At 40.9% G+C, this 27,130-nt stretch overlaps 1 protein-coding gene across 1 annotated transcript in view; it reads left to right on the plus strand.

Annotated features, from left to right (window-relative positions):
• RPS6KC1 (ribosomal protein S6 kinase C1) overlaps positions 1–27,130 on the plus strand; it is an 811,495-nt gene that overhangs the window by 672,773 nt on the left and 111,592 nt on the right. Inside the window, exon 18 of the transcript XR_007058661.1 lies at positions 7,404–7,545. The gene's annotated coding sequence lies outside the window, so the exon portion shown is untranslated. The remainder of the gene's footprint in view (positions 1–7,403; positions 7,546–27,130) is intronic.

Consider the following 27,130-nt stretch of genomic DNA (forward strand, 5'->3'; position numbering starts at 1 on the left):
AGTGCACTGAGGAGCAGAAGCAGGATGCAGTAGGAGCATGAGAGCAGAAATCCTTCCTCTGTGGATTTCTTTTTCATTTTTTTATTTGTTTTGAGATGAAGTCTTGCTCAGTCGCCCAGGCTGGAGTGCAGTGGTGTGATCTCAGCTCACTGCAACCTCTGCCTCCTGGGTTGAAGTGATCCTCCTGCCTCAGCCTCTCAAGTAGCTGGGATTATAGGCATGTGCCACTGCACCCGGCAAATTTTCAGTGGAGACGGAGTTTCACTATGTTGGCCAGGCTGGTCTCAAACTCCTGACCTCAGGTGATCCACCCGTCTTGGCCTCCCAAAGTGTTGAGATTACAGGTGTGAGCCACTGCGCCCAGCCTTTTGTAGCTTTCTTAACTCTGCTTTGTTTAAAGCCACAAATGTGTGCTCTTTTCCCTCCCTATCCTGGTCACTTGTCTCGCCAATACAAACCTGAGATCACAAGGGGCTCTATGAGTAAGACCGTGGCTGGCTGGCAGCAAACAAGGGCCATGGTGGAGAAACACTCCAAGGCATTCACCCGACAGCCTAGGAGATGGGCACACAGTTATCCTCATGAACAAAAGCCTGACAGTTTGAGCCAGGTATAGTGGCTCGTGCTTGTAATTCTAGTGCTTTGGGACATGAAGGTGGGAAGATCACTTGAGGCCAGGAGTTTTCAAGACCAGCCTGGGTAACACAGCAAGACACCATCTCTAAAAAAATAATAATAAACAAAAGGAAAATTTGACGACTCCATTAATCTCATTACTAACAAGTACTTACATTTGTTGCTGTCTGATTACGTCAGGCACTGTGCTGTGCCTGCTCTTATGCATCCTCCCAACAGTCCAAAGAGTGCTATCTCTTTTCACATTTATAGTCAAAGAAACTGAGGCTTAGAGAGGTCATGTAACTTGCCTAAAATCCATCTGATGGACCAGAGTCTTAGCCACTCTTGGCACCACGCTGAGCTGTCTAGAGAAGGGCAGGTCACTGTTACAGCTGGAGTTGAAAGTTGATGTTCATTGACTTTCTAACACTTTTTTGTCTTTTACTAAAGCTGCCAGCTTAACGTCTTACCAGAGGACTAATAAATCTTATTTCCAACAAGCGACTGCCAACATTAAAACATGCAAAATTTCTCAACATAAATTTTCCCAACAATTGTAACTCATTACTTGGATACGAGGCATGCACTACTGCAGTCTGTCCACGGTGGTGAGGAAAACACTGGGCACGAGCCCAGCAACACATTCTTTGACAGCAGCATGAAATATTTTACAACAGTTTCCAGGAAGTTTTCACTGGCTTTCTCAATTACAATGAAGTCTTCTTGTGGGCATCTGTTGCAGTGAGCCTTAACACACACATCCTCCCCGTGCTCTCAGGCCGCTCGGCAGCCAGCAGATGCCCAGGACAAGAGAAGCCCTTGTTTCAGACATTTGCTTTCTCAAAGGCATTCCGGGCTCTCTTCGGGGACTCTTGGTCAGTGTCCTGTGGCGTGGCCTCCCTCTTGCCTTCCTGCTGTGGGTACTGCTTCAACCACAGAAATCCAGAGCCCTTTACTCGTTGGTTTCAAAGTAAATCTTTGCTTTGGGGACAGTATCCTCTTTTGCTAAGTATGAAGACTGGAAGTTAACTAAAAATCCCACACTGGTGGATAACCCTGCTCAACCAGAAAAAATCGAACCCTGTTCAGTCAGAAAGGTTGAACATATTTCACATGATTTTAATCATTTGTTTTTCATAACCAAGGGTCTGTAGTTCATATCCTTTGTTCATTCTTTTACTGTTTTGTTCTTTTCCTTATTTTAAAGGGTTCTTTACATATTCTGAACACTAATCCCTTGCTGAGTGCTGGCAAATATGTTTTCCCAATTTGTGACTCACTCTTTTACTTTATTGTGTTACAATTTTAATTTTAAATTGGAACGGATCATTTTTTCTTTCATGATATTGCTTTTCGTGTTTTAAACATCATTTATATACTCCTCCATATTTTCTACTCCATTGACACAAACTATCTGTAGCTTTTGTCAAAGTTTTCTCCATAATTGTTCTTTCTTATTTTTATTATTTTAGAGACAGTGTCTTGTTCTGTCACCCAGGCTGGAGTACAGTGACACAATTATAGCTCACTGCAAGCTTTGACCTCCTGGGCTCAGGCGATCTTCTCAGCCTCAGCCTGGGCACATCTGGGACTACAGGTGCACGCTACTACATCTGGCTAATTTTTAATTTTTCTGGAGAGAGGGGTTGCCCAGGTTGGTCTTGAATTTCTGACCCCAAACAACCCTCCTTCCTTGGCCTCACAAAGTGCTAGGATTATGGGCATAAACTACCATGCCAGGCCTGTTGTTTTAAATATAATTTTCAAAAGGCAGATGGCACTAACTGTCATAAAAAAGAGGTATCTCCCTTTGGATGTTATGACTATGTTCCTTAAGAATGGAATTTCTCTTTCCTGATGGTGTTGTTGGCTTTCAGAAGACAAACATGTCTCTAATTCTGCAATCTATGTCTCACCTGTGGGGAATCCTCTGTCTTTCTCCTCTTGTTCAACTAAGTAATAAAAAAATTTCAATTGCTTAAGCATCTAAGAATACTGCAACCTTTCTCATCATCTTTTCCATCCATGATGCTTTGGTGTGCCTATGTCTGTATCTATCTATTGATGTATCTACCTAAGCTGAGAGGTTGGCACACATTATGTGTGTGTCTTAGTAAATGATATTTTTCTACTTATGTCTTATATGAAACATTATTAAAATGAATGTAGGTTTTCAGAACATATTGAAGCTAACCCATAAAAGGCAACTCAGTTCAGGAGCACAGAAGGTTAGAATAGCTATGGGATGATGTGCTGCAAATAAACCCAGTGGCTTAACACAACAGATTATTTTCCTTTCTAAGCAGGGGTCCAGAGCAAATCAGGCACTTTTAATCTTAGGGCGCCACCATCTCAACATGAGACCCCCTCAGCCATGGGGCGGCTAAAGGGCCAGCTGGAGAATTGCCCTGACTCTTGTATGCTTTGGTCTGGAAGTGGGGCCCATCACTTCTACCCACAGCACATTGACCCGACCCTTTCAGCTGAGCCCACCTAACTGCAAGGGGGCTGAGAATATGAATGAGTGGATGCACTATTCGGTAAACATCACAGAAGGCCAGTCTGAGATTAATAGATCATCTAGAAAATTTGCACCTACATAATTGAGAATTACCTATGGCCATAGCTGACATTTTGAGCCCTTACCGAAACTCACAGGTCATCATATCCTCTGTGCAAATACTAAGAAAGTGTGCCTTCTGAGATGAGGGTACAGGGAGGAAGTCAAGAATGTGGAAGTCATCAGAGGTAAGGAAGAAAAAGCATTAAACATCAGTTACAGCTTAGACTATGTGGATTTCCATTTGCAGGTAGGAGGGGAAACATTGAGAAGTAAAGCAAAGCAAGACAATGGGAGGAATTCTAAGAAGTTTCAGATAAATAATAAGAAGTGCTTCTAGTATGAATGGCACTCAAAGTCTGTGAAGAAACTGGTTGCTGAGAAGCCACAGGAGTGATTTATTGATAGGCCAGGAAGATATTCCCAACAATATTAAAGTAATTCTTTGCCAGGCTGTGTTCACAAAAGAAGGGGAGGGGACCAGGCCAGAAATACATGTGCATTTTCCAAAGGACAAAGATATATGAAAAAAAAATTAAAAGAGATTTTCAATTCCCCCATGCCTTGAAGCAGTCTGCAAAAACTAGCATGAAGTTGGTATTTAGGACAAAAAATGGTGAAAACAAACTATTGGTGATTTTTAGGAAAGAAAGTTGTGGAGAGAAAGAGAAAAGTTAGCAGTAAAGGGAAAAAGTGTGTAGAGGAGAGCAATAATTGTTTTCCAACTGCAGGCGATAAAATGCGTATCTAAGAGGAACGCCTGACCTTCAGACAACGCATCTATCAGACTCAGGAGAATGGAGACAAAGGGAAGAGAGTCACAGGGGAGAAGAAGCCAGGATGCAGTGGCTGTATGCTAAGTGGAAGCCATTGTGGGCCACTGAGAAGATAATAGAGGGAAGTGGAGAAGCCGAGGAGTAAAGCAGAGTGATATGAAGCAGCGTGATAAGCGGTGCACAGTGAGGAGGGGGAAAAATAATGGGAAAGAGTGAGATAAACCCGCGGTGAAGAAGCCTTTCGCAGAGACTAAGAGTCTGGGAGGAAATTATCTGAGGGGCTAGAGTACTTGGGGCGTCTTGGAACTTCACATTTGTGAGAAAAATGTACCGCATGTATCAAACAATCCAAGTCCCAAGCTATGCTAATAATAAAGGCAGTTTGCATTTATTGCGTCCTTTCTAAGTGTCAAGCGCAGCCCAAGGTACATTAAATATCCCTTCTCGTGGAGCTCATGGTGATAAAAATCGAAGTGACAGCAAGTAGTAAACAAGAGCTAGTCTTTATAAAGACTCATTTAACGTCCATGCCAGCCCTACCCGCTACAGGATCTTCACCTTTCTGTGCCTCAGTTTCTTCTTCTATAAATCGGGATTATAAGAGTACCCACTGCCCGGTACTCTAAGAGGAAAAGTGAGGCAAGAGCGAACATCACCCATTTGCAGGCGGGGCCACTCCCTCCTCATTGGCTCTGCTGAAAAAGAGCTCCACACTTGGGTTGAAAGAAGGAGCAGAGAACTTGGGAGGTAGTGGTGGGAGGAGGGGGGATGGCAATTCTGGCTTCTGCCAATCAAATCTAGATGTGTCACTCCTCCGCGCTCTTGGCTTTCCATATAGGTCACAGCTCCTCCGCTGTGCCTCGGGAAAGGTAGGCACAGAGAAGTTACAGGGCTGGCTTACGTTTGCACAGAAAATTTAATGGCAGTCAGAAGTATAACTTAGGTTTCCTTATTCCCCAGAACATGAGGGTTTTTTTTTTGTTTTTTTTTTTTTTTTTACCAGTGGACGATGCTGAGACACAGGGCAGGGTAAGCACATTTTAAAACAGAGGGCAAAGGTCAGCACAGAGCATGGGGAGATCAGTAAATATGTCCAAAGTGCTTAGTGAGAGGTAAAAGTTTAAAAGACGACAGTTAGGTTTTCACAATAGTGAACGGACAATTCAATGCCAGAGGTCCTGGAACCTGCAGTGTTTTCTCATTGACCTACTATTTCCCTAGGAGCCAGAGTCAGCATGACGGTAGACTTTTCCAGAAGTAAGCAGGTTACCTCTTATCTCTTCTGTCATCCACATCCTCGGGTTTGAGGGCTTGAAATCGTGCAGTATTTCCCTCTTGTAACCCAGAACAAGCATCTCTAACTTTAGATCGACTCCTTTGGTGTCCTGGGGCCAGTGAATCAACCTGCTTACTTCCCTCCATTTATGGCTGTGATGCTCCTTTGTAACAAGGGATCAAGAACTGTACCTGCGCTTCCAAATGCAGCATCATTTATTGCTTCCTGATGCAAAAATAGCTTCCTTGGGCTTAAACTGGCCAAGATCATCTTATTTGTCATGTTTTTGTTACCATTAAAGGATCGGGGGGAGGGAAAGACTTCCTGGAAACCTGTTGGTCTCTCAAAATCAGTCCATTCATAGAATCCTCCAACCAAGAGGGCTGTGAACAGATCATGAAGTCCAGTCTCCTGCTTCTGGGCCGTGATTCCTTTATTCCAAGCCTGCTGAGCCCTGGCTTTTGCAGCAGGACTTATTCTTTTTTTATTTTTATTTTTATTTTTGAGTTTAGGCCCAAATGAATTGTTATTTTTTTTTTAACTTTAAGCTTGAGGGCACATGTGCAGGTTTGTTATATAGGTAAACTTGTGTCATGGGAGTTTGTTGTACAAATTATTTCATCACTTGGGCATTAAACCTACTGCCCAATAGTTATTTTTCCGGATCTTCTCCCTCCTCCTACCCTCCACCCTACAATAGGCCCCAGTGTCTGTTGTTCCCCTGTATGTTTCCATGTCTTCTCATCATTTAGCCCCCACTTATAAGTGAGAGAATGCTGTGTTCGATTTTCTCTTCTGGCATTAGTTTGCTAAGAATAATGACCTCCCACTCCATCCATGTCCAGTAAAGAACATGATCTTATTCTTTTTAATGGCTGCATAGTATTCCATGGTGTATATGTACCACATTTTCTTTATCTAGTCTATCATTGATAGGCATTTAGGTTGATTCCATGTCTTTGCTATTGTGAATAGTGCTGCAATGAACCTACATGTGCATGTGTCTTTATTTGTTATGATTTATATTCCTTTGGGTATATACTCAGTAACAGGATTGCTGGGTCAAATGGTAGTTCTTTGTTTAGGACTTTGAGGAATCATCACATTGTCTTCCACAATGGTTGAACTAATTTACACTCCCACTAGCAGTGTATAGATGTTCCTTTTCTCCACAACCTCACCAGCATCTGTTATTTTTTGACTTTTAAGTATTTGCCATTCTGACTGGTGTGAGATGGTATCTCATTGGGGTTTTGATTTCATTTCTCTAATGATCAGTGATGTTGAGCTTTTCGTCACATGATTATTGGCTGCATGTATGTCTTCTTTTGAAGTGTCTGTTCATGTCCTTTGCCCACTTTTTACTGGGGTTGTTTGTTTTTTATTTCTTGCAAATTTGTTTAAGTTCCTTATAGATGCTGAATATTACACCTTTGTAAGATGCATAGTTTTCAAAAATTTTCTCCCATTCTGTAGGTTGTCTGTTTATTCTGTTGATAGTTTCTTTTTCTGTGCAGAAGCTTGTTAGTTTAATTAGATCCCATTTGTCAATTTTTGCTTTTGTTGCAATTGCTTTTGGCATCTTTGTTATGAAATCTTTGCCTGTGCCTATGTCCTGAATGATATTGCCTAGGTTGTTTTCCAGGGTTTTGTAGTTCTAGGTTTTACATTTAAGTCTTTAATCCATCTTGAGTTAATTTTTGTATATGGTATAATGAAGGGGTCCAATTTCAATATTCTGCACATAGTTAACCAGTTATCCCAGCACCATTTATTGAATCAGGAATCCTTTCCCCATGGCTTTTGTTAGGCTTGTCGAAGATCAGATAGTTGTAGGTATGCAGTCTTATTTCTGGGTTCTCTATTGTCTGTTTTTGTACCAATACCATGCTGTTTTGATTACTGTAGCCCTGTAGTATAGTTTGAAGTCAGGTAGCATGATGCTTCCAGCTTTGCTCTTTTTGCTTGGTATTGCCTTGGCTATTCAGCTCTTTTTGGTTCCATATGAATTTTAAAATAGCTTTTTCTAGTTCTGTGAAGAATAACAATGGTAGTTTAATGGAATACCATTGAATCTATAAATTGCTTTGGGGAGTATAGTCACTTTAACAATATTCATTTTCCTATCCATGATCATGGAATGTTTTTCCATTTGTTTGTGTCATCTCTGCAGCAGGACCTATTCTATCAAGGATCGGTAATTGGGAATAAGCTTCTCATTTCATCCTAAAGGATTCTGTCACTCCACTGAAATCTTAAGAGTCTCCAGTGCTTGTTAGGAAAGTGTGGAAGATGAACCCCTTCTTCATCCACAGGTAAGAACATGCTGGAAAGCAAAATTGTTTAACACTTGCTTAGTTTTTAACCCAACACTTCTATGTCTAGAAATATATCCTGGATTTGATCTATACAAATTATATGAACATATTAAATTGTCACATGTACTCCAAAAATATGTGCATCTATTATGCATCGATAAAAATAAAATAATTAGATCAATACACAAAGATGAATGCAGAAGAATGTTTAGTGGAATATGATTTATAATGACAATATGGAAATAGCCTAAAATGTCCAACAGTAGCAACTGATTAACTAAATTATGATAGTCAACAGTAGAATATATATACTTATTTTACATAATATTTATAAATACCTGAATGACAAGATGTTTATGATGTACTATGAGAAAAACAAGTTACAAAATAGTATCTAGAATACAATCCTGTGTTCATACACATGTGCCTAAGAAAGTTTGTAACAATAAATAGCAAGATGTCAATACTGGTTGTCTTATGGGGTGAGAGGCTGTGATGTAATATTTTCTTTATATATCTTCCATTTTTTCTATAATGAATAGAATTTTTGAAAAAAAAACCAAATACATTAAAAAAGTTTAAGTCTCCACTCTTTAGAATTGTCCAGGTTTCTTTTCTCAAATCTAGGTGGTACCATTTTCTGAGCTACCCCTGATGGGGAAGGAGGAGAGGACAACATTTTCCCCATTTATTAATTTTACTTTATGCAGATTGCAGTGAGTCAAAGTGTGGCTTTAAAGAGGAAAAAGTGTCACAAAGATTTAGCCTGAATGGTATGTATGTATGAGTGTGCGTGTGCGTGTGTGTGTGTGTGTAAGCCTAAAATAGAAAAAGCCCTTTGTCTTGTTGATTAGTTGTAGATTATCATTGATTGATGTTTCTAGTCCAAACTTTTAAACCAACAACTCCTTCAAGGCAGGCAATAACTTACCTTTATTTTCCCAGGTCCTAGCCCAGTGCCTGACACATAGTAAGATCTTAATATACATTTGACAAATTAATTAACTTTTGAGCCTCAATTATTTACAGTACCTTCTGGCAAAAGATTGCCTCCTCTTCCATCCGGATCCCTATGACACTGTGGGTTGATGGCATGATGGGGATAGTGGGAGTAGTTGATGTGATATAAATGAGTCAGATTGGCCTGGGTTCAAATACTGGTTCTGCCACAAGTGAGAAATTTGATCATAAATTTTCTTTTATGTAATATGAGGATGAAAATATATTTTAATCTCTTCAATTCCCCTCCCCAATCTCAGCCCCTAGTAACCATCATTCTACTCTCTATTTCTATGACTTCAACATTTTACCCCTCACGTATAAGTGAGATCATGCAGTATTTGTCTTCCTGTGCCTGGCTTGTTTCAGTTGACATATGCCCTTCAGGTTCATCATGTCTGAAATGACAGGATTCCCTTCTTTTTACAGGCTAAATAGTATTCTATTGTGTGTATACACCATATTTTCTTTACCCATTATTCCATTGCTGGACTATTAGATTGACTCCATATCTTGGCTATTGTGAATAATGCTGCCATGAAAATGGGAGTGCAGATACCTCTTTGATATACTGATTTTATTTCCTTTGCATATATAACAAGTAGTAGGATGGCTGGACCATATGGTATTTCTATTTCTAGTTTAGGGTTTTTTTGTTTTGTTTTGTTTTTGGGTTTTGTTTTTTTTTTTGAGACAGGGTGTCACTCTGGTCAGTGTCACCCAGGCTGCAGTACAGTGGTGCGAACATGGCTCACTGCAGCCTTGACCTCCCGGGCTCAAGTTATTCTCCCACCTCTGCCTCCAGAGTAGGTGGGACTACAGGCATATGCCACCACAGCCAATTTTTTCTATTTTTTGTAGAGACAAGGTTTTGCCATGCTGCCCAGACTGGTCTCAATCTCCTGGGCTCAAGCGATCATCCTGCTTTGGCCTCCCAAAGTGATGGGATTGCAGGCGTGAGCCACTACACCTGGCTATTTTTAGTTTGTTTTTTTTTTTTTTTTGAGGAAACTCCATACTATTTTGCATACTAATTGAAGAAATGAAAATATTTATATTGCAAGATTATTTTAAGGTTGGAAACTTGACAATTTCTTTTAATCCCCTTTCGTGGGTTTTATCTTAAATTGTAGCCTTTGAAAACTAGCCATTGACCAATGTTAAAATCCATTCATTGAAGCCATTCTGCATAACTCAAGGTTCAAGTAGCCTTCTCTAGAAAAATAAGGTAACATTCTTCTAAGGCTTCTATGAGAGAGTGCTCGCTCTTGGCTTTCACTAAGAAATGTGGAAAGAAATTGTGTTTAGCAAGAACTGGTGTATTATTAAGTAGCCTTATCTCAGTTCAACATCTCTCTGCAAATAAGTCAAGGCTCACAGCAACCCTGTGCAAATGCTGGAAATGTTTGAGGCCTTAAAATAGCATAATGCTTTGAAGAAACCCATCTTCCTAATGGAAAAAAGAACACACAAGAAAAATGACTGTCAGTTATTTATATATAGCCCAGGATTCAGCAAGTGACAAAAGTGATTATTGCTAATTTACAATTCTCTTTAGAAACTAGCTATGTGCACCATTTTCAAGGAGGCTGAAGATTAAAGAAGGAGCTGACCAGATGACCACAGCCCAGATCCTTTTCTTAGGGTGGCTGTATGGCTCTGGGTCTATGGCTCCACTTCTTTTCTCATTGTCCTTGGCAACTTTGTCATGAAATAACCTCATTAGATGTCATATAGACTTAGCTTTCGATGATATCATTTTAGCCAATTGTTCATTCAAGTGATCAGAATGGCCACATGAGAGTGGCTGGTAATGGGGTATATAGAATAATTACCCATGTTTTATTCTTAGCTTTTACTAATATGTTACAAGGCCTCCCGCCAAAAAATTAGGGATTTTGTCAGTTGTACAGTCAGTAGGCCACAGAGCAGTTTGACTGTGATTTTTCACTGAGTGTGTGAGTGCATGTGTGAATGTGTGTGTGTATGACTTCTCCTCTTTATTAAGGCTGTGCAGTAATGACATATCTTATGCAGCTGTATGAAAACACCAACCCCCTAAAATAAATGCCAAAATATGCTTGTGTACCATATTGTGGAAAAAAGATGGCTGGCCAGGCCCACTGATTAACATACTATAATGTTCATTTCAAATAGTTTTTTGAGTGACAGAGAGTATCAATACATCTATTAGTTTTCAATGTAAATAATTAATATTTGAGCTCTAGAGCTACTTTGCCCTTGCACCTGGGCATTGGCGGCACAAGGTCATGGTTTTGAAGTTATCTCATTCCTATTGCCTGTGGCATCGGCTGCCCTGTAATTGAGAAGTCAAGTGAGTTTGTTGTTGTTGTTGTTGTTGTTGTTTGTTGTTGTTGTTTTTGAGACGGAGCCGCTCTGTAGCCCAGGCTGGAGTGTAGTGGCTTGATCTCGGCTCACTGCAAGCTCCACCTCCTGGGTTCACGCCATTCTTCTGCCTCAGCCTCCCCAGTGGCTGGGACTACAGGCGCCCACCACCACGCCCGGCTAATTTTTTGTAGTTTTAGTAGAGATGGGGTTTCACAGTGTTAGCCAGGATGGTCTTGAGAAGTCAGGTGAGTTTCTTATGTGAAAGTGAAGTCTCTGTGCATGCTTTTCCAGGAGAATGCTTCCCTGATCCTCTCCAACTGGAAACAGCCTGGAATTGCTGGCAATGTTGCTCCTAAGCTCAGAGTGTCCAGGATAGCTACTGATACTAAATGCTAATCTGAGACCAAGTCAATTGCCTGGGGATGTTCAGTCTAAGGTGTATGGTGGCAAGGTGTTAGGAAGGGGCTCTGCCAACTCCCATGTTCTGTGGCTTCCACAGGTGGGCATATTAGACTTCTGCACCACCCTTGTTCTATTTCCCTCACTAAGTTCTAAAGTGGATAATCACACTGAGATGGGGTCGGGCCAGTCAAACAAAGGAACTATGAGGTTGGCCTACAATGTGAAAACTGTCAATTACCCTATTTTATGTTCTACCTACATTGCTAGTAGCAGAGCACTCATTTCCATTAGACCAATTTGGTACAATGATGCATGTTCTAATCCTTTTACCATCTTATCTGAACAAGAGAAATGAGTACAAATGAAGGGGGAGGAGGAAAAGGGAGAAACAGAAGGAAGAAAAAGAGACAAAGAGGAAGAAAGAGAATCATTCTGAAGGGTGATTTTTAACTACTGGCTTTATAATTTATTAGAAATAAATGTAACATTCTAATGTGAGCTGGTCACTGCTGTACAAGGAAGGTGATTCTAGTCAGAAGTGACTTGTTTTTAAAACCTGATTCTCTTAGAATCTTAGTCTGTGAACAAGGAAGTCACTCACAGATTCTGTGTAATTTCTCTATGGAGCACTGAACATGGCTTAAAGAGGAGGTGGCCCCGATGCAGAGAATCAGGGCCAGAGGTTGGCCTTAACACCCGCTGGCTCTGCCACTTTCTTGGTAGGGATGCCAGGAGCAGACCTCATCCCAGTAAGGCAGGGACAGTAACCATGCCCTGGATGAGCTAACACAGGCCTATCAAAATGTTTGAAAAGACCTTGTAAAGTTTTTGATTCCTGGGTAACAAATTACCACACACTTAATACCTTGAAAACAACACGCATTTATTATCTCAGTTTCCATGGGTCAGTAGTCCAGGCACAACTTAACAGGGTCCTCTAGTCAGGGTCCCACAAGACTGCAGGTAAGGTTTCAGCCAGGCCGTGTTCTCATGGGGAGGCTCCACTGGGGAAGAGTCTATTTCTGAACCCATTCAAGTTGTTGGCAGAATTCATTTCCTTGTGGCTGTATGATGGAGAGTCCTTGCTTTTTGTGGGCTAGGGCCTGAAGACAACACACAGTTTCTTGCCAAGAGGCCTTTTCCAACATGATTGCTTATGCCAAGCCTTCAAGAAGAGTTCTAGCTCTAGTCTACTAACATAGAGTCTTCATAACCCACCCTAATCACAGGAGTGCTAGCCATCATCTGTGTCATCTTCTATTGGTTAGAAGGAAGCCACAGGTCCTACCCACACTTAAAGGGAGGAGGTTACACAAAGGCATGAATGCTGGGAGGTGGGAATCATTGGGGGTCAACCTCATCATTCCAACCTTACTGGGATTCTCTCCCAAACCAGCCAAATCTGTGTTCTTTAATCTTCAGTAGGGTGAACAACCATCCCAGTTTGCCTGGACTAGTTTTAGCACTGAAAGTCCTGCATTCTAGGCAACTCCTTGGTCCCAGGCAAATGAGGATAGTTCGCCACCCTAAACAGATAACATACCTTCTTTAATTTGTTTTAGGCCAATATTAGGGGTGAAAGAGAAACCTAAAAGGTTTCATCCAGAGGTGGTCAAACTATTCCCCAAGGAGCTCTTTGAGGGCACTGAGGTGAAGGAGATGGTGAGAGGATGCCAACAGGATGGGCTTTTCAGCTCCCTCCCGTGTTCCACCACAGAGCAAACCAGCTCCCGGCTTGCTCATACGTGGTGCATTTGGTGTAATTTGTTGTGTGAAGTGTGGTTTCCATGGCCACAGGTTGATACCTTAACAATTTCATTTTACATATAAAAAGCCAAGTTCTGTAAAAAACTTAGGGGCAGAATTCAGCCTCTTGACATGTAAGTCAGACCTCTTCTACAACACCATCCAAATGAGTTGAGCATTTCTTGGCCATCTGTCTCATTCACAGCTCTGGACTTGGTGCTGAGGCAGTGAAGAAAGGTTTTGGGGGGTTGTTGTTTGTTTGTTTCCAGTCACATTGGGGAAGACCTAGGCTAATGCTAGAACATACTCACCATGACCATGACAGCTTTATCTGATTTGATCAGTTACTAAGGAATCAAAATGGTGATTTCAGCAACCTGGAAACAGGTAGGTTTACCTTGGAGTTACATGTTATTTCAAAACAACATGGGGACAAGTGTGAATTCTTGAGGTTGAAAACAGCTTATGTCAATGACAGGGACTTTCTAGTCTTTTCAGCATAAAACACAAGCCAGTGTTTAAACTACCGTAGACAGAGTTCATAAGCACAGAGGGAGGGCAAGGTTATGCAACTGGTGAAAAGTACAAGGCAAGGTTAATGTGGACAAGCAGAGTGGTGGTTTCAGACTGCATAAGGGAAGGTGGTCCAATTCACTAATCAACATGGCTCTACTACTGCAGCCAGCCCTGTCCTATAAACCAATCAAATGGAGTAGCAACTTATACCTACAGGCAAGAAAAAGGTCCAGGGCAGTAACTCACTTCTCCACCTGGCCAGCCAGGCTGATTTCTGTCATTTGACACCATACAGTCTAGGTTGGCTGATAAATAGGTCTCACATCTTGGAATGCTAATCTCGGAACAGTTTGATTTGCTTCAGCACCATTGCCTCATTAACCCCAAACTGAGCCTGGGGTGTTCTAAATAGGGTAGTGAATATAATGTCTCCAAGGTGTGAAGCTATTTATCCAAGGTTACTTGGTAGAAGAGTTTGCAATAGGGCCTCACTTCCCCAAAGTCTTAGACACTTGTATATTTGTCCTAAAAACAACCAGACTAGCCAGAACAGCCCTGAAATTTTAGTTATTTATACACACACACATATATATATTCAGTTACAAAAGACATCAGGAAACTTTATAGTCAGGGTGCGTTGCTGGGTCATAGGGGCCTGCAGAGCTGTTAAAACTCTAGGTGCCAGTGTTTCTCATAAGATGTTAAAATGACCACAGATGCATATTCTCCAAGACAGCTCATTAAAGAAAATAACATGTATAAACCCATATCAAAAAGACAATGAAAGAGAGAAACAAACATACAAGAATTGTTGACAATCGTTTGCAAGAGAGAAAGTGGATGTAGCTGTGACAACTGATGAGGCGGAGTTTAGAAAGCCGCTGACTAGAGGATGTCCCATGAAAAAGGAGGTAATGAGCCGCTTAGAGCTCCTGAGAAGCTGGGGAAATCAGAGGGATTCTGATTCTTACCTGGGAACAGTAAAATAGAACAGAAAAATTAAAAAATGTGTAAATATATAAATATATTGAGAAAAATTAGAGAATATGTTGTCTTTATAAATGAGAGAAAGCTGATGCACAACAGAAATAACCATAAGAAAAAGCTCTTGGAATTTAAAAATATTATTACTAAAATAAGGCCGGGTGTGGTGTCTCACTCCTGTAATCCCAGCAATTTGGGAGGCTGAGGTGGGTGGATCACTTGAGGTCAAGAGTTTGAGACCAGCCTGGCCAACATGGTGAAACCCAGCCTCTACTCTAAAAAATAAATAAATAAATAAATAAATAAATAAATAAATAAAAAGCTTTATGAAAAGCTCAATAAATAAAACTGAAGAAATGTCTAAGGAAGGTTTTTTTTTTTTTAAATGGAAGAATTTAGAGAACATAGAAGAGCCATCTAGTACTAATTCCAGAGGCCCAACATTTGATTAATAGGAATTCTTGAAACAGAGAATACAGTTGACTGTTGAACAACACGGGTTTGAACTGCATGGGTCCACTTAGGTGAGGATTTTCTCCCACCTCTGCCTCTGCTGAGATAGCAAGACCAGTCCTTCCTCTTCCTCCTCCTTAGCCTACTCAGTGTGAAGGCGATGAGAATAAAGACCTCTATGATGATCCATTTTCACTTAATGAATAGTAAGTATATTTTCATTTCCTTATGATTTTTTAAAATAACATTTTGTTTTCTCTAGCTTACTTTATTGTAAGAATACAGTATATAATACATATACAAAATATGTGTTAATCAACTGTTTATGTTGTTGGTAAGGCTTCTGGTCAACAGTAGGCTATTAGTAGTTAAGTTTTGGGAGAGTCAAAATTTATACATGGTCTTTTGACTGTGCAGGGGCTGGTATCCCTAACCCCTACGTTGTTCAAGGGTCAACTGTAGTAAAATTAGAAGTGAGAACTTATCAAAGAATTAATACAAGAGAATTCCGCAGGTTCTTCAAATGGAAAAAGACACCATGTTCCAGGCATACTGAATAAGCAGAGCCTTGATTACACACAGCATGTGAAATTTTGGAACATTAAGAATAAAAAAAAGATCTTAAAACCTTTTAGAAAAAAGCAGAAATAACAGTTATATGGCATGACACTTCTTACTCAGAAGCACTGAGTGCTAGAAGATAATGGATCAATTGTTTAAAAATTCAAAGGCAAAATATTTCTCACCTAGATTTCTGTACCCAGGCAAATCTTCAGTTAAGTGCTAGAAATTCAGCATTTTAAGGTACGCAAAGATTCAAAAGTATGCCCCCCGTGCTCTATTGTAAGATGTTTCTTAAGAATATATTCTAGTGAATAAAAGCAATTAAAACACGGAAAAGGAAAATGTGGGATCCAAGAAAAAATTAATTGTGCCTGAGGAAAACAGCTATGAACAGTCCCAGAGAGTGACCAATCCAGGGTGGAGCAAAATGAGAAAACCAGAGGTAAGTTTCTAGAAATGAGGGTAATTAATAGAATAGAGATAATGATTGAGAGCTGAAAAAACTTATGGACATTTTAAAGGTGAAACAGAGAAATAAGTAATTTATTTAAAATGATCTCTAGGAACATTTTCTTTTGAGTATCACAGTGGCCATATCAGGGCTTCTGAGAAGGAAACAGAAATCCAACACAATCAGAAATTCCTGCTATAACATCATATATGCATCTCTGAAATATTTTGTGATTTACAAAAATCACAGTATTAAAGTAATAGGGCTTATTAGAAAAATAGGGTTTGGCTGGTGAGTTAAAATTTATGGAACTGTATAACCAGAGACTTAACAAAAACAGTGAAAATCCCAAGAAAAATATTAGCACAGTTAGCTAATATTTAAGTAATTGATTAAATAAATAATTAAAATATTAGCACAGTTAACTCTTTGCTGGCATTTGCAACTAGACTCACTGTTTGTTTGTTAATATCTTGGGATTCAGCTTCGTCCTTGGACAGTTTGGTCCTTGAAGACATTCACATCTAATAGAGACCAGGGTCCTCAAAATTAAAATGTACCATCTAAGGACAGCCTCATATATATACATATATATATCTCAGATATATATACACATACATATATCTCTCAGATATATATACACATATATATCTCTCAGATATATGTACACATATATACATCTCAGATATATGTACACATATATACATCTCAGATATATGTACACATATATACATCTCAGATATATGTACACATATATACATCTCAGATATATGTACACATATATACATCTCAGATATATGTACACATATATACATCTCAGATATATGTACACATATATACATCTCAGATATATGTACACATATATACATCTCAGATATATGTACACATATATACATCTCAGATATATGTACACATATATACATCTCAGATATATGTACACATATATATATCAGATATATGTACACATATATATATCTCAGATATATATACACACACATATGTGTGTATACATATACAATATAAAAATAAATATAAAATATATAGTATATATAAATAATGTATATAGAGAGAAACATAGGGGCATTATCTTTTTCTAATTGATAGGTAATAACTGTATATTATTTATGGGGTACTACGTGGTGTTTTGCTATATGTTTACATTGTGGAATGATTAAATCAAACTATTAATATATTCATCACTTCACATACTTATTTTTTGCATGTGGTGAGAACATTTTAAAATCTAATCTTTAAGAAATTTTGACATATACAATGTATTATTATAATTATAGTCACCAGAAGCAATGTTTTTGCAGCAGCTAATACATCTGCGTTTGTAGCTTCTCTGGATCACTTACTATAGAAGCTATTGAACCCATCTCTTCTTGAAGAGATTAAAGGCGCCGCTCCAGAATTTTTGTTTTCTTAAGATCTTTCTATAATGGCAAATATTTCTCCCTAATTGTGAGAAAATGCGTGCTTGATGGCTTCAAACATCAACGTGCTGGAAAAAAAAAATCATCTGTGAACCAATACAACCTCCATGTTCTGCTGTCGTCTTTTTACGAGTTGCCACTACAGCAGAACAAACTGTTCCTGGCTCTGTGGAGAGCAGAGGTGACACGAGCATAATAGTATAAACACTGCTTATTGGTTTTCAACTTTTAGAATCAGCATATTTACAAGTATGGTGCCTCCGCCCTTCTCTCCAGTGCTAACGTCTTCACCTTAAGACTGCAGAATCTGCAGATGGTGTCTCTGAGGGTCGGGGTGGGAAGTGGAGGTTTCTGCATGACCCGATGCAGAGCTGGGGTGACTGGGAAGCTCGGTATGCTCATTTGGGAGAAATGGAAGGGAAGGAAGAGGAATAAATGAGCCACATCCTCATCCATTATAGACAAGAGTCTAAAGTTGATAACACAAATAAAAATAAATACCAGAAATGTGTTACATAGACACATGATGGTAGCTATCAAAATCCCTAGAGGAGGAACCAGTGCAAATTGGTTGTCTTTGGCATAAGAGCCTAGAGGAATGGCCAGGAGGGGGTGGAGGAGATCAAAGGACTGTTGCTTTTCTCCATGTTCTCCACGAGTGCTCCTAGATTATTTGAACCAAACACACATGCTAATATAATAAAAAATAAAAGAAATTAACTTTTTAAAAATTTGCTCTTACCCTGCACAGCTCAACAGGCACTAAGAGATTCTGATTCTGGTGGGTATAATCGTGTATTTTGAGAAAGATCCACAGATAATTTTGCTGTTCATTCCAAGTTAACACTTAAAGCTCTGGTCGGCTAATGTGGAGTGAAACTGTTACAGTATAAAACTTATTTGACGTAGAATCTTTCTTCAAAGACTATTTTACAGGATTTATGTGCTGTGAAATATTCTTTAGGAAGTGCACACCCATTCCCAATGTGTATCACTTTCTTGGAGAGGAGGACGGGGGAACATTTTAGCTGAAGAATACCTTTGGTTTGATTATTAAGATCCCCAACCTGCCATCACTGAGGTAAAAACTTACAGGTCTTTTCTCAGGAGAAGGGACAGCTAGCACTCATTTACTAGCATGCTTTCGATGGCTTGTCATGTTAACAATGTATGTAGGCTCAGGCTGTGAAGGTCTGGGCAAAGCTGCCAGACCCATGTGGGGCTCTTGCCCATGAAGTGAACTCTATTGGAATGAGGCTCATGCAATGCAGGCCAAAGGGCCCCTGGTTGCTGGAGACTGGAAGCACTGCATGCACAGAAAGTACCAGGGCAGGTCTAGTCAGAGTGAGCAGAGAAATGAGGATTCTCCATGTTGGTAAAAATTGAAGCCAGGCCACTGTTATTAAAAAGTCAAAAAACAACAGATGCTGGGGAGGCTGCAGAGAAACGGGAACACTTATACACTGTTGGTGGGTGGGAATATAAAGTAGTTCAGCCACTGTGGAAAGCAGTTTGGCAATTTCTCAAAAAACTTAAAACAGAATTACCATTCAACCCAGCAATCCCATTACTGGGTATATATCCAAAAGAAAATAGATCATTATACCAGAAAGACACATGCACTCATATGTTCATTGCTGTGCTGTTCACAATAGTGAAGACATGGAATCAGCCTCGGTGTCCATCAATGGTGGATTGGATAAAGAAAATGTGGTACATCTACACATTGGAATACTACACAGTCATAAAAAAGAATGAAACCATGTCATTTTCGGCAACATGGACGCAGCTGGAAGCCATTATCCTAAGCAAATTAGCACAGGAATAGAAAACCAAATACCATGTGTTCTCGCTTACAAAGGAGCTGAACATTGAACAACTACAGACATAAACATGAACAATAGACACTGCAGAATACTAGAAGATGAAAGAAAGGAGAGAGGAATGGGTGGAAAAACTACTTATTGGGTACTACACTCACTACCTGAGTGCAATATGCCCATGTAACAAACATGCACATGTACCCTCTGTATATAAAATAAAAGTTGAGAAAAAAAATAAGTAAAATCTAAACCAGGCCAAGGGTTTTGAGATTGCTGAGAAAGCCTGACTTCAATGCCATTTGTTTCCTTGAAGCCTAGCAGCTTGAAGGGCCATCAGACACTCCAAACACAACTTGGATTTGTTCCTGCCACAGCCTCTCATCTACAGAAAAGCTGGCAAGTAGGTAAAGACCCAACAGGTCATGGGAGAGGCACCACCCAGCCTATGCCGCTGGGAGAGGTGCTGATGATTATCTTCAATTAAAACCTCCCTGGAAACTCAATGAGAAGTGATGGACACAGTTCGAGTTAGGAATCAGAATTTTTGGATTCTATGATAGGCCAAAGAGTGCTTGAGGAAAGAGGGTCTTTGGTGTCCCCTGCAAACTATATCAGCTTCTAAAGAAAATGTGGTATGTATACACCATGGAATACTACTCAGCCATAAAAGGGAACAAAATAATGGCATTCACTGCAATCTGGATGGAGTTAGAGACCATTATTCTAAGTGAAGTGACTCGGAAATGGAAAACCAAATATTGTATGTTCTCACTTATAAGTGGGAGTTAAGCTATAAGGACACAAGGGCATAAGAATGATATAATGGACTTTGGGGACTTGGGGGGAAAGGGAGTGGAGGGCGAGGGATAAAAGACTACATGGTGGGTACAGTGTACACTGCTCGGGTGATGGGTGCACCATAATCTCAGTAATTACCACTAAAGAATTACCACTAAAGAATTTGTTTATCCATGTAAACAAAAACCACCTGTTCCCCAAAAACTATTGAAATAATGATATAAAAAAAATAAAAAAAACCTCTATCAGCCTCTAGCCAAGACCTCCCAAATAAACATGCATCTTAGGGAAACAAACAAAACAAAACAAACAAACACAAAAACGCAGTATGCTTGCTGTGCAAAGGCAGCTTCAAAATGTGTCTCCCTATTGCCCCCTCCAAAATATTGTCCCCCCATGGGCCTTTCTTATGTGGAAGTTCTGAAGCAATGTCCTACTCCAGGCAAGCCTGGCTCTGCTATTTGCTGTGTAGCCTTTTTTTGTTATTCCTTAGTTTCTTTATCTGTAAAATGGGGCTGGGGAAGAGGATGAATCCAATGATCTCTAACATCCTTGCCAGCCCTAATACCCCCATTTCTCTTGGGCAAGACAGCAAAAAGAAGAGGTGAGACGTAATGTCTTCTGACTCATACTCCTTACACTCCAGCTTTCTGGGAGAGACCCGTTCTCCTTTCCAGATGGATTTGTCTGTCTTTGTAGGGAAGGGAAGGTGTGTGCTGCTGGTCAGCGTGGAGGCTTTACAAAAGCACAGGAACAAATATGCAGTTCTTCACAAATACTCAATTTACCCAGAAGTGCTCAGCTGCCTGGGGGGAACAGGCTCTCTGCTGACCCAGATAAGCAGACCTAGGGCTCTGTGATGTCGGCATGAGGCCCTTCAAGGTGCCTCTCACCACAGGACATCAGGAGGCTGGGCAGCCCTGTCCAAACACAAACACGCTGGCAGTGGTGTCCCTACCTACACAGATGTGAACACAAAGGAGATTTTTCAGCTAATAAGATCCTCTGGTGTTTGTAGCACTAAGCAGGTAAGGTCATTAGAACTCTTCTTTATAATACATTTTCCCCCTCATTCTGATGGAAGAAAAATAGGTTGAAGGAACTGATTTTATTTCCCATTTAAGTTAATTCAATGGAAGCTAGGGTTTTTTTTTTTCTTTATGTATGTGTGTAGAAGGGATGGGGGAGGCCTCAGGGAAGGAGAGTTTTGAGATGATGCTATTGAGTCCCTTGGCTAAAGAAGAAAAATGTCAGGCTTGAAATGGTTTCCTCTGGGGGCTGTTTGTGGAATCAAAACGCCTCTCTGGTTTGCAGTTCTGAAACCCACTACTGTGACTTAAAAAAAAAAAAAAAAACACTTTCAATTTAGAGGGGGAAAAGGCTACAGCTCCTGGAGTCCCAACTCAGCTGAGGAAAATGCCGCCGGATGATGTGAACGCAGTGGATTTGGATTTCAAACACCGGCATTGATCTCAGCATTGATTGGGGTTGTATTACTGATCTTGTCTGAGCGCCCAGCCCCACCTCTGTCCCCCAGGGAAGGAGGATTGATTGCAGGGTGCAGCTGTGAGGCATGGATGGAAGAGGAAGGACAAAGAGGCCAGTCCCATGATGAGGGAAGGATCCCAACACGCTCTTGCAATAAACTGCAATCCTGCAAATCAAAATCTCATCCTTAGTGACTCCCGTCCTCCCGCACTTTGTCAACACTTTTCTCCTGGGAAGGCTCAGTGCTTTGAAGGATGCTCAGGTTAAATCTCTATTTACACCACCACAAGGAGAGGGGTATGCGGATAAATGATTAATCCTCCTCCTCTCCTGTACCCGGGACCCTGTGCTCACTAGGTTCCTTGATCTACGAGGACCCACTCTGGACCTCATTCTATCTACTATATCTGATTCCAAGTGATTGATTAATGAATTTTTAATTCATTTAACAAATACTGAGCGCCTACTATGTGCCAGGAGCTTAGCTTGCCTCAGTGAACAAAAGAGACACAGATCTCTGCCCTCATGAAGCTTATATTCTAGTGAGAGAAGATGGGCAATAAGCAATAAAAAGAATAAACAGCACATTCTCATATGTTATCAGGTGATGACTACTATGGGAAAGGAAATGTAGAGTTGAGAAGGAGAAATTTGAAAGGGCAGAGTAGGAATGCTCTACAACTTGTCAGAGTGGGCTTCTTTGAGAAGGGCACATTTGGGCAGAGACTGCAGGGAGGTGAGGGACTCAGCTGTGCAGGGATACAGAGTCAGTACCTCCAGGCAGAAGGAACTGCTAAGCACAGCAGCCCTAAAGTGAGGGGCACCTGGGGTGTCTGGTGGACACTAAGGAGGCCAGTGTGACTAAATCAGGGTGTGTGTGGGTGGCCGAGGGTGAGTCATGGATAAAGCCAGAGGGGTTCTGAGGGGCTGAATTCTGTAGGATATTATAGGTCATTGTAAGATCTTTGGCTTATATTCTGCAGGCAATAGGGAGCCACTAGAGAATTTTAAGCAGTGGAATGGCACAATCTAACTTAAATTTTCAAAAGATTTGTAAAATTTGGGAGGCTGTATTGAGAATAGAGAGCAAGGGTAGAGCAAGGAGGTGGTAGCAGGAGGAGAGAGAAGATGGACACTGGAAGCAGGGCAGCAGAGTGGAGGCGGTGAAGAGAGGTCAGTTTCCAAATATCACTTGAAGATAGAGCCAAGGGGCTGTTTGATTGTGATGGGTTGGTAGTAGGCAGAGGTTTTGGGCTCAAGCAATTGAAAGAGCTGAGATTCTCACAACTGAGATGGAGGAGGAGCTTTTTAGGGAAGATCTTGAGTTGAGTCTTAGGCATGTTAAGTCTGTGATGTCTGTGTTAGACATCCAAGTGGAGATGTTGAGTGTGCAACTGGAGACACAAGTACAAAGTTCCAGAGAGATGTCTGAGTTTTAAATATAAGTTTGGGAGCTATTTGCATACACCTGATATTTAAATGCCATGAGACTGGGTGAGTAAGGATGGAGAAGGGAATAGGACCCTGGGCACTCCTGGGAGCAGGACCCTGGGACATTCCAACATTAAGAGTCTGGGAGGAAGAGAAGAACCAGCAAAGATGGCTGAGAAGGAGCAAACTTGTGAAGTAGGAGTTTGTAGAGTCCTTGGAGCCAGGTAAAGAAACATATCACAGTCAACTGGTTCAAGTGCTGCCAAGAGGTCAAGGAAGATGAGGACTAAGATAATATTATTGTTTTTAGCAATATGGAGGTCACTGGTGCCCTGGACATGAGCAGTTTTGGAAGAGTATTAGAAGCAAATGCTCAACTGGATGGGGTCCAGGAGAAAATGAGAAGAGAGGAATTGCTAATAATTTAGAAAACTCCTTTGAAGGATTCCACTGCAAAGGAGATCAAAGAGTTGGAGCATCAACCAGCAGAAGAAATAGCACTGTGGCAAGTTTCTGTTTTCTTTGGCTTGGTTTTGTCTGGTTTAGTTTAGTTTTAAGGTGAGAAAAATATAGCTATAAGCAATCAACTAACCAATATATGGAATATTTGCCATGTACCAAGCATTGTGCTAGGAACTTAAAGAAGAAATAGAAATTTAAACTGCATCCTTGCCTTCAAAGATTTTACAACCTAGTCAGAGGCAGAAATTTTTTAGAAAAGAAAATCAGAGAGCTATAGGGGCACCCAATAAAAATGTTCCATAAACAGGAATGAAAGTGGGTAATGTGTACTCTGCTGGTGTCATGGAAGTTCAGAACAAATAGAGTGGGGACAACATTTCTCAAATTCAGTGGATGACATTGATTAACTACTAAGTGCCTACAAAAGAATATACAGGCACTTAATTATGGTATGGACAATATTGTAACCTTTTGGTGAGCTTTCATGGTTCCATATGCATCTTCATTTCCTAGGTGATGAAATGCTAATTAATTATGAAGCTATTAATTGAGCATCTACTGTGTATGAGGAGCCAGGTGGGTTACAAAGATGCCTAGATCCATCTCTGCTCTTTACAGCTTAGTAGAATAGCCAAGGCAAGAGCATCACTGATATTGGAAGTGCTCACAGATGGCCCATGACTCAGCTATGGAACCCAAAATGGAAGAAGTCAGCCTCCCCTGCACTTCTTCCCCTACCTCATCTCCCAGCCAGACTTCAATCTCACCTTTACCTGAGAGGGGACTTCCAGAAAGTGCCATGACATTTCTAGGGTCTCTTTCCTCTTTTGTGCTTGTGTCTAGAAACAATTCACGTTAGTGAATACATAGATATGAAGGAGCAGATTTTTGAGGGCTTATGTGGGGTAAAGTCTGGAATGAGGTCTACTGGACATTATCAAAAATATACCTTGAATGATTTTGCATTGTAAGTCACAATGGCAGAATAGTCCTGAAGCTGGTGAATTACTCATGGTTCTCTTCAGCCCTCTGATATCCTCATTGTAATGGAAAACTCCTGATTATCTACAATTATGGAGAGAAGTACAAGTCATCCCAAATAGGGATATGCCAATTATTTATATAGGCTTCAGGAATGTATCTCAGGGTTTCTAGTGAAAATTAGTTCATTTTGTGTTCTAGAATTATAAGAAAGATAAAACCAAATAATGATGCTGGGCTATAAAGGCCATCTCAGGCAATACTAGAGCAATGTCTGTTTTTCTAATAACATCATGACAATCCTCTGCTGTCTGTTCTAGCCAAGAGGAGAGATATATCACCTTTCAAACTGATGTTGAACACCAGCTTAAGCAGAACTGTCTCTCCTTTTCCTTCTGACTAACATGTTTACTGACAACATGCTGGGTTTTGGATCTCCCAGGAGAATCTGTTTGGATACCTCATGTAAATGGCAGTCTTAATTATTGTCCAGAGAATGAACCAGACCCTCCGCAGTGTTGGCTATGAAAATGTTCACCAGGCTGGACAGCCTGTAGAATTTTCAATATTTGCTTTCACCCCTAGAAAAATAAAAATGTTACAGTCCCTCCTCCTCTTCCTGGGATAATCAATTTATTCATAAGCCAGGAATAAGTCCTTACTCCACATAATCAATTTATTCATAAGCCAGGAGAAAGTCCTTACTCCACACTGAGCCCATGGAAAGCATTTGGCATATGAGTGTAAATCCTCAAGAGGATGGTGGTCTAGGTAGGGGTTCAGACTCATTGATGAGCATCTGTAAGAGAGTGTTTGGCGGGCAGAAGGACAGCCATGTGCATGGAGTAGGTAGGACATCGAAGAAGCCTAAGGTCAACTCTACTGCAGCTGGGGCAGGAAGGTAGCCTTGAATTAATCCATAGAAAGTGAAGAGATTTCTGGATATAGAACAGGGGGGAGAGGTTTTGGTAATTGAGGGAACAGGAACTCTAAGTGGAGGGAATGGTAGCCAAAGACTGGGGCATACAACTGCCAAGCACATGCCCTGGGCATGCAGTGGGTTATCTGCTGGGTCTTTACCTACTTTCCAGTTTTTCTGTAGATGAGAGGCTGTGGCAGGAACAAATCCAACTTGTGTTTGAACTCTCCTTGCATCCCCACAACCAAAAGGGCACTGCAGGGTGCCAAGAGCACCTCGGGGAGCACCTCCCACCTCCCCCACCTCCCAACTCCCGCCCACTTTGCACTACACTTCGATGTGGTGTCTATTGTGGCAGCTACTGTCAGCACCACTTTTAACTGCCACCTTTTCTATTCAGGGGACAACTTCAGGAGAGGGCTCTGCTGGCATCCCCAAACTCGCACTTGGAATCATAATGGTGCTATGAGACGAGCGAACACAGTAAGCTGGGGAGATGAGTGATTGCATCTGATGTTGGAGGACTAGATCCTGCAGGAAGGTTAGCGGGGAACATCCCCACGGTCACTGTTTGTTTGTTTACCTAACTTCAAAATTCTCTCTGGAGCTGCTTAGACAAAGCCTGACTTATCTTCCCAAAGATGAAACACTGGGTAAGACACATATCAAATGAAAATAGCTTTTTTAGTCATAGTCAATATTTTGTAAAAATTTGACAATCTGACACTGTTAAATTCAAGTGCCTATCTCCTGGTTTTGGTTTACTTTGTTCGGGGGTTAGGGACAATGTCTCCATGATTATTATGTAGCAAGCATCAGTCATGGTTACAAGGAACCACAGCACAGCCAGCTGATACTTGGTAGGCTTTCCAGCCCCTGAAGGGCAATGCTTTAAACTTTCACATCTTCTGAATCTTCTGTCTCATACACTGGTCAGTTTTCAAATAGCCATTTTATTGGTAGTCTGAGGGAAAATCTTTGTTTTCAGTCCTTCGCTGGAGTTATCCCCCTCTCTGTTGACTTACTTTCTTGATAGACATCTTTATCTCTGTTTGTTCTTGCTTGGCAAGGAGGCTACAGTTTAATACAAGCTGGAAGGGACGTTGGGAGGTTATTGTAAGAGCCCAGGAGAGACGATGAGGACCCCAGCCAGGGTGCTGAGAATAAGGATGGATATATGAGCTGAGAAGGGGAATGTCCACAGTGGCTCCAAGTTGCTAGCTCGAGGCATTAGAGGGATGATGAGGTCTGGCACTCATGCAGCAGGAAAAGGAGCTCTCTCTTGAACCTGTTGGAGTGTAGGTACTTCCAGGGCATCCAGGTAGAGATTTAATAGGTGGCTGCTTATGCAAGTCTAGGGTTCACGAGTGAGTAGGACTGAGAGGGCCAAAGATGTGATTTCATCAACACTTACACCCACATATGGTTGAGTTCCAGCCCTCTGCCCCCAAATGTTTGCAGTGTCACCAAGGAAACAGGTTTATTTTGATATTAGTTTCTCAAATTCCACCTTTTATCTTTCTGCCAGAAACAGTCCTGACAAAACAACCTACTGATAAGTCAGAAGAAGAATTAAGAATGTGGAACTGGGGAAGAACTATAGTAAGTGAAGGAACTAAGTAATAATAAATCCAAACCGTTGAGCACTGCAGCCACTCACAGTCACTCTTTGTTCTTCTTCTTGGCCCTCTGGCAGAACTGAGCATCTTGAAGGTCTTGGGCAAAGTCATAGATACCAATTTTAGCAATTTACCACCATGAATTTTCTACACAGACAATA

This window comes from Homo sapiens, chromosome 1 (assembly GCF_000001405.40).
Source record: "Homo sapiens chromosome 1, GRCh38.p14 Primary Assembly".
Taxonomy (NCBI): Eukaryota; Metazoa; Chordata; class Mammalia; order Primates; family Hominidae; genus Homo; species Homo sapiens.